The 8,604-nt window shown below is 36.8% G+C and overlaps 1 protein-coding gene across 1 annotated transcript; it reads left to right on the top strand.

Annotated features, from left to right (window-relative positions):
- On the top strand, window positions 1–939 carry OR51B2 (olfactory receptor family 51 subfamily B member 2). The gene has a single exon (NM_033180.5). The coding sequence runs from the start codon at window positions 1–3 to the stop codon at window positions 937–939; it is 939 nt and encodes a 312-aa protein (NP_149420.4).

Raw genomic sequence — 8,604 nt, 5'->3', positions numbered from 1 at the left:
ATGTGGCCCAATATTACTGCAGCCCCTTTTTTGCTGACTGGCTTTCCAGGGCTGGAGGCAGCTCATCACTGGATCTCCATCCCCTTCTTTGCTGTTTATGTGTGCATCCTTCTGGGCAATGGCATGCTCCTCTACCTCATCAAGCATGACCACAGTCTTCATGAGCCCATGTACTACTTCCTCACCATGCTGGCAGGCACAGACCTCATGGTGACATTGACCACGATGCCTACTGTAATGGGCATCCTATGGGTGAATCACAGGGAGATTAGCAGTGTGGGCTGCTTCCTACAGGCTTACTTTATTCACTCCCTTTCTGTTGTGGAATCAGGTTCCCTCCTGGCAATGGCATATGATTGTTTCATTGCCATCCGCAATCCTTTGAGATATGCTTCCATTCTCACCAATACTAGAGTCATAGCGTTAGGAGTGGGAGTGTTTCTAAGGGGTTTTGTATCCATCCTGCCTGTAATTTTGCGTCTTTTTTCATTTTCATATTGCAAATCTCATGTTATCACACGTGCTTTCTGCCTCCACCAAGAAATCATGAGACTGGCTTGTGCTGACATAACTTTCAATAGACTTTACCCTGTAATTTTGATCTCTTTAACAATCTTCCTAGACTGTCTGATCATCCTCTTCTCCTATATTCTAATTCTTAATACTGTCATAGGCATTGCTTCTGGTGAAGAGAGAGCCAAAGCCCTCAATACCTGTATCTCCCACATTAGTTGTGTTCTTATCTTCTATGTTACAGTGATGGGTTTGACATTCATTTACAGATTTGGGAAGAATGTGCCAGAGGTTGTCCACATTATCATGAGTTACATCTACTTCCTCTTTCCTCCTTTAATGAACCCTGTCATCTACAGCATCAAAACCAAGCAAATACAATATGGCATTATCCGCCTTTTATCTAAACATAGGTTTAGTAGTTAAACTCGGATCTGGAGAATCAGACACAGACATAAAAATGAAGCCAGAATGAAAAATGAAAGCCTGGAGTTCTTTCTTAGCAAAGAGCAAGGGTATACTGGAAGACAATGTTGTCACTCACAAGGACTTAAGTACTTTACCATAGGGTTGGGGGCATATCTTAGGAGAAGTCTGGTGACAGAACACTGAATAGACCATATGGAACTGAAAAAGTCTATATTTAAATTCTTCTTTCAAATGCACCTGAAATTAGCCACCTCAGTGAAATTTGAGGAAAAGGCAGAACATATAATCTCTATGAAAAACTTTTGCCTCAGTGTGCACATTTGTGCATACATGTTTATGTGTTTGCATAGGCTAATGCACACAAGTGTAAAAAAAAAAGTTGATCATCATTCTCTAGAAATAAATTCTTATTTAAAATTTTCATTATTCTCATGGCAAATATAGTGATAAGAAACTAACATTTTAAATTTACTTTTAAATAAGTAAGTGTTGGTTATCTTTTAACTGTCCTCTACCCTGAGTTAGGGTACTCTCTAGGGCCATGATTTGCATTTAATATTTTCTAAATACAGTCGTAAGTCACTTACAGAGTATTTCAATAAGAGCTTTTTAATTTTCAATACATTCCTTGCAGGATGTCTGGATTTTATAAAAGTGTATTTCTTTACCTCATTCTTCTATAAATATTCTTTTGCCCAAAAAAATCTTAGAAGGAAAAACCTAGACAAGCTTCTTGTCAGCTCGTAAAAAAGTAAAAAGTGAGTTTTTAAGAGTATGTTTGCTCTTCAGATGATTTTAACATACTTTTCCCTTGGCCTAATAATAGGAAGGGTCAAGGCTCTATTCAAAAATAGAAAATATAGCCATTCTAGAATGAAAAATATGAGACATCATTACTTCACAAGTTATATATACTTTATATATGTTCAGAGGGAAAAATTAGAAATGGTGATTCTTTTGCCATAAATACTTTCTCTGACATCTACTGTAAACTCTCTATATTAGGAAGACCAACAATGTTGAGAGAAATGGATTTCAATTCATCCAATGACTAAAAAATTGTGGTGGGAGGAGTTTTTGTGTGACTGTGTACTAAAAGCTTCTTTTAGACTGATTTAATTGTGAAACAGGATTTTCATCCACAAATTTCAAAAGGGGAAAACCTATCTCAGAGTATAATGTTCAAGTTATTGATGCTGAATATAAACTCAAATCCTAAAAGTCAGTTATCTACCAAAGACTTTCTCTGTTCCTTATATGTGACCATGAGGTCTATAATACATCTAGGCATCTTAATGGAAAAATCTCATTTCGGATAATTCCCATCTTGATTTGCTATCTTGATGCAGAACCTCTTGTAGCTGAGGAAAGCCTGCCTTTGTTTCCCATCTTTGTAGAACAGAAGCTGTGGGACATCACAAGTTGCTGTGGTAATCACAAGTTACTGCGATATTATATCCCCATCTGATATCTAAATTTTGAGGATAGGCTATCTGTTTTACAGTGATACATTTGATGGAAGGACTCTTAGTTTAACTGGCCAAGGCCAGGACTTCAAGCCATAGTTTAATTACCTGCCACATGTGTGAGAAATAAGGAAGTTTCAAACCATGATGGAGCAGCATCACTGGCATGCCTTTTGTGTATATGGTGGGTTGAGGATATGGCAATATTGCAGCCTCACTGAATAGGTATAAGGAGGTGCTTACTTTGGATAAGCAGTGTTGTTTCCAAGATGAAAGAAGCCCAAATTATTGGGAAATATGTTTATTATTAATGACGTTGTCCTTAAACTGGTTTAGACGTTGAATTCTCTGTTCTTGGTGCCTTCATGGTTGTTTAAAGAAAATATTTTTCAAATTGATTCTAAGAGGGTGATCTGAATCCACTAGCATTTTATTTCATTGAGACTTTTCATCTTTTACATAGAAGGAAACTAAGTTATTAGTGCTCTGAAATATCAACTTTCATGATAAAAGATACACAGTCCCTTCTGAGGGCACAAGCCAATACTTCATTAAACCAAACCAGCTATCACTCTTCTGTCATATTTTTAATAAGGAGGACAGCTTCCTTTAAATTCTCTAAAAACAAAATAATATCCTTATTCAGCCTTCCCACTTTACCACATGACCTGATTAACCTATTAATGACACTGTACTATGTCAATTATGATATCCTGTCTTTACCTATATGTTAATGAAACTGTTAGAAAAGAAAATGATATGAGTAATTTTCTCCAGGGTATCCTTTGTGCAAAGCACTTCATTGAAACTGATTCTCTTCATCTTTTCTACAAAGTCAGCATGTAAAACACTCATTAATGTACAATGACCAATCAATAAATAACTGTTGATTAGTGAATAAAGTCATTATCTTCTTGTGATAACTATGGAAGTCAATGGAACTACTCTCCATTCAGCAAAACTCAGAAATTCAGGTGGCATTACTTACGCTTCTTTCTCTTTAATCTACTACCTTCAATCACTCAGTTCTATTCTAAGTCATAGAATCTCTCTTCTATTCAAGCCTTTCTAATGCTACTGATAACAACTAGTCAAAACCACACCAACACAATTTGACACGTGTATTGTCATATCCTGATACTTCTTTTACCTGTTCTCCCCCTTTTCCAACATGTTTCTCATACTGTAGCCATAGTAACTTTAAACAATAACTACTTGATTATAAGTACTCATCATACCTCTTGTTTTATATTCATTCCCTTATGGTAATGTCAAAATGTTTTACATGATTTGCAAGATATATTGTGATCAGAACCTGCTACTACTACAGATTCATTTTCTCTCAAGCTTTTTTTCATGTATTGTTGTTCAAGAGATATTATACTTCCTTAATGTATATTTTGAATAAAATTATTTTTATTTGAATTTATAGTATTTAATCTTGCCCCATTACCAATGTACATTTTACAAACTTTAATTTGTTTACTTGTTTCGTTTTGTGTTTGTTCTTTTCACCTGTACGCAATGATTGCACTACCCCACCAAATACTACTACACTACTAATATAGTAGCATTTAATTCTCAGCTTAAGTAGCATTTCTTCTGGAAAATGTTCCCTGATCCCAGAAATTTATTTGATGTGTCTCTCATAGCACACTAATATTCACGTAGTAATGATAGTGTTGTATGAATTCATGGTAAATATTTTCTTTCTAGTGCCTGCTTGGGTTTTAAATTTCAATAAAAAGAACAAGTCCTAGGTATTTCATTTTCTTTGTGGCTGTTCTTAATGGGATTGTGTTCTCGATTTGACTCTCAGCCTGGGCCTTATTGGTGTATGGAAATGCTACTGATTTTTGTATGTGATTTTGTATCCTGAAACCTTGCTAAAATTGTTTATCAGTTCTAGCAGCCTTTTGGAAGAATCTGTAGGATTTTCTAAGTATAGAGTCATATCATCAGCAAAGAGAGATAGTTTGGCTTATTGTCCTATTTTGATGCCATTTCTTTCTTTCTCTCGCCTGATTGCCCTGGTTAGGACTTCCAATTTTATGTTCACTAGGAGTGGTGAGAATGGGAATCCTTGTCTTGTTGCAGTTTTCGAGGAGAATAGTTCCAGCTTTTGCCCATTCAGTATGGTTTTGGTTATGGGTTTTTCATACGTGGCTTTTATTCTTTTGAGGTATGTTCCTTTGATGCCTAGTCTGTTGGAGGTTTTTATCATGAAGGGATGTTGAATTTTATTGAAAGGTTTTTCTCAGTCTATTGAGATGATCATATGGTTTGTGGGAGGTGAAAGATCTCTACAAGGAGAACTACAAAACACTGCTGAAAGAAATCAGAAACAACACAAATAAATAAATAAAAGCTTTCCAGGCTCATGGATTGGAAGAATCAATATGAATTTAAATGGCCATACTGCTCAAAGCAATTTAGACATTCATTGCAATTTCTATCCAATTACCAATGTCATTCTTCACAGTATTAGAAAAACTAGTTTAAAATTCATATGGAACCAAAAAGAGCCTGAACAGGCAAAGCAATCTTAAGCAGAAAGAACAAAATTGGAAGCACCACACCACCTGACTTGAAACTACAGGCCAGGCACGGTGGCTCACGCCTGTAACTCTAGCACTTTAGGGGGCTGAGGTGGGTGTATCACCTGAGGTCAGGAGTTCAAGACCAGCCTGGTCAACATGGTGAAACACTGTCTCTACTAAAAATACAAAATTAGCCGGCTGTGGTGGTGGGGGCTGTAATCCCAGCTACTCGGAAGGCTGAGGCAGGAGAATTGCTTGAACTCTGGAGGCAGACGGTGCAGTGAGCCAAGATCGCACCACTGCACTCCAGCCTGGGTGACAGAGTGAAACTCTGAAAAAATAAAAAAAGAAAGAAAAGAAAGAAAGAGAGGGAAGAAAGGAAAGAAACTACATTATAAGGCCACAGTACCCCAAACAGCATGATATTGTTACAAAAATAGACACATTGACTAAGGAAACACAATAGAAAACTCAAAAATAAAGCTACATAGTTACAACCATCTGATCTTCAACAACACTGACAAAAACAAGCAGCGGGAAAAGGACTACCTATCCAATAAACTGTGCTGGAATACGTGGCTAGCCATATGCAGAAGAATGAAACTAGACCCTTACCTTACACCATTTAGAGAAATCAACTGAAAATGAATTCAAAACTTAAATGTAAGATCTCAAATCTTACCTGCACTGGCAGTGCATTTTTGGCTAAGCCCCCAAAAGCAATTGCAATGCAAAGAAAAATTCACAAGTGGAACCTAATTAAACTAAAGAGCTTCACTATTCACAATAACAAAGACTTGGAACCAACCCAAATGTCCAACAATGATAGAATGGATTAAGAAAATGTGGCACATATACACCATGGAATACTATGCAGCCATAAAAAATGATGAGTTCATGTCCTTTGTAGGGACATGGATGAAGCTGGAAACCATCATTCTCAGCAAACTATCACAAGGACAAAAAACCAAATACCACATGTTCTCACTTATAGGTGGGAATTGAACAATGAGAACACTTGGACAGAGGAAGGGGAACATCACACACCAGGGCCTGTTGTGGGGTGGGGGTGGGGGGTGGAGAGGGATAGCATTAGGAGATATACCTAATGTAAATGATGAGTTAATGGGTGCAGCACACCAACATGGCACATGTATACATATGTAACAAACCTGCACGTTGCGCACATGTACCCTAGAACTTAAAGTATAATAATAATAATAAAAAGAGCTTCTGTGCAGCAGAAGAAACTATCAACAGAGTAAACTGACAATCTACAGGATAGGAGAAACTATTCACAAACTGTGCATCTGGAAAAGGTCTAATATTCAGAATCTATAAGGAATTCGAACATATCAGCAAGCAAAAAGCAAACAATTCCATTTAAAAATGGGCAAAATCCACGAACAGACTCTTCTCAAGAGAAGACATACAGGCAGCCAACAAATATATACAAAAATGATCATCATCACTAATGAGAGAAATGCAAATCAAAACCACAAGAGATACTATCTCATACCAGTCAGAATAGCTATTTTTAAAAAGCCAAAAAACAGATTCTCATGAGGCTATGGAGAAAAGGGAACACTTATACAATGATGATGGGGATGTAAATTAGTTCAACCACTGCAGAAAACAGTTTGGAGAGTCTTCAAAGAACTTTAAGCAGAGCTACAATTTGACACAGCAATCCCGCTACTGGGTATATATCCATAGGAAAACAGAGCATTAGACCAACTAGACACATGCACTTGCATGTTCACTGTAATGCTGTTTAGAATAGCAAATACAAATAACTGGCCTAGGTGTCTATCAAAGGCGGACGGGATAAAGAAACTGTGGTACATATACACCACCACTATGTGGCAATAAGAACAAATGAAATCATGTCCTTTTCAGCAACATGGGTGGAGCTGGAGGCTATAATCCTAAGCAAATTAACGCAAGAACACAAAAGCAAATACCATATATTCTCATTTATAAGTGGAAGCTAAACATTGAGTACACGTGGATATAAACATGGGAACAATAGCCACTTGAAACTACTACAAGGGGCAGGGAGAGATGCGGGAGAGGGTTAAAAAATCTATTGGATAGTATGCTCACCACTGCATGCAATATATCCATGTAAAAAACCTGCACAAGTACCCACTGTATCTAAAGTAAATGTTGAAAATTTAAAAGAAAAAACAAATAAATAAAAACAAGTCTATCCTGAACCTGGTATGAAATGGGCAGTGATTTTTATATAAACAAAGTTATTTTAAGACAAAATATAATAGGCCCTTCATTTACTTGGCTATTAATAGATCCATTGAGGTTCCTGTGGATCAGAACTGATTTTCCCAAAGTATCAGAAAAGACAACAATGCAATTGAAATGCATAAACTCCAGGACAAAGACACATGTGACCCTGCATTCAACTAGTATCTCTCAATACTTTGCATTGTATTGAGACAGACAATGCAAAGTACACACATGGATATACTGTGTACTGATGCTTAGGGTCCTGAAGGGTCACATAATTAAGTCCTGGCATCCCAATGTAGAGGTGGCATTGGAGTATGCAGCTTTTCTCATCCATCCTTGGAGAAATACCTGAAAGTTCCGAGGACATTGGTTGAGCGTCCCTGCTTCTCCCAGACAGAGGAGGGAGGGGAGATCAAGGGTTCTTCTGAGTATTTGGAAAGAGGAAACTCTGGGGAAGTGATTTCCACATACATAAACTCTCTAATTTGGCCTCTTGAATAGTCTTTGAGAAGTGAGTGTCTGAACTGAGTCTTCAAATAGAGCAGGAATGGGTCCTTATTCCAGCAAGAAAATGACAGCATAGGTGAGTGCCAGGAACAGGAATAAGGAATGATTCCTCTTCCTTCTTATGTTAGATGCAGCGAAGAGAAGATAGGAAGATTTTCAGAGGTCTGCATAGGAGAACATACTCCATCTGGGATGACCAACACCTAAAGCACAGACTTTTTCATCTCAACACATGTTTCAAGGCAGGCTTGAAGTTTCAAATGTGGTGCTCATGGATTAGCTTCAGGAAAACGTGTGAATATTTTTAGACTAAATGTGACGTCACCTGCTTTTGTCCATTTTTCTCCACAGAGGGCTCATGGCTTTTGTTAGAATTCCATAAAACATTAACATTCTATTTCAAAACTAAACAAAGAAAAGTTTTCTAACAAAACACTATGTCTATATCATGATTGTGAAACATAAAATAAAAATCAAGTTTAAATGTATCCAAATATGCAATTAAGCTAAGCAGCAGGTTAACTATGTACAATTATTATCTAATTGCATATATTTGCCTTCTTTTTTGTTACTATTGGTTCAAACATTGTGCAGCAAGCACACCACAGAGGGGCATGATGCATTTTTTAAAATGTGTTTTTTAGATTAAGAATGCTTAACTACTTAATTATTCATAACTGAAGAAATGATCATCATTCCTTATCTCTAGCACAGTCTATAAATGTATTGCTCTTCTATAAGAAAATTGTTGCACATTCATGCATATACCAATAAATTATTGCTAAATATGAATATTAGGATTGAGGCTGCAGAAATACAGTTTCACAAGAAGGTAGTAAAAACTGATAAGGCAGGGATTTCAGTGTAATAGTTTCTATAAAGCTACTTGCCACTTGTGA

Source organism: Homo sapiens, chromosome 11 (assembly GCF_000001405.40).
Source record: "Homo sapiens chromosome 11, GRCh38.p14 Primary Assembly".
Classification (NCBI taxonomy): Eukaryota; Metazoa; Chordata; class Mammalia; order Primates; family Hominidae; genus Homo; species Homo sapiens.
This window is presented reverse-complemented; position numbering and strand designations above follow the sequence as displayed.

Coding starts and splice junctions, on each gene's coding strand:
- OR51B2 (NM_033180.5), top strand. CDS start 1: ATGTGGCCCAATATTACTGCAGCCCCTTTTTTGCTGACTGGCTTTCCA.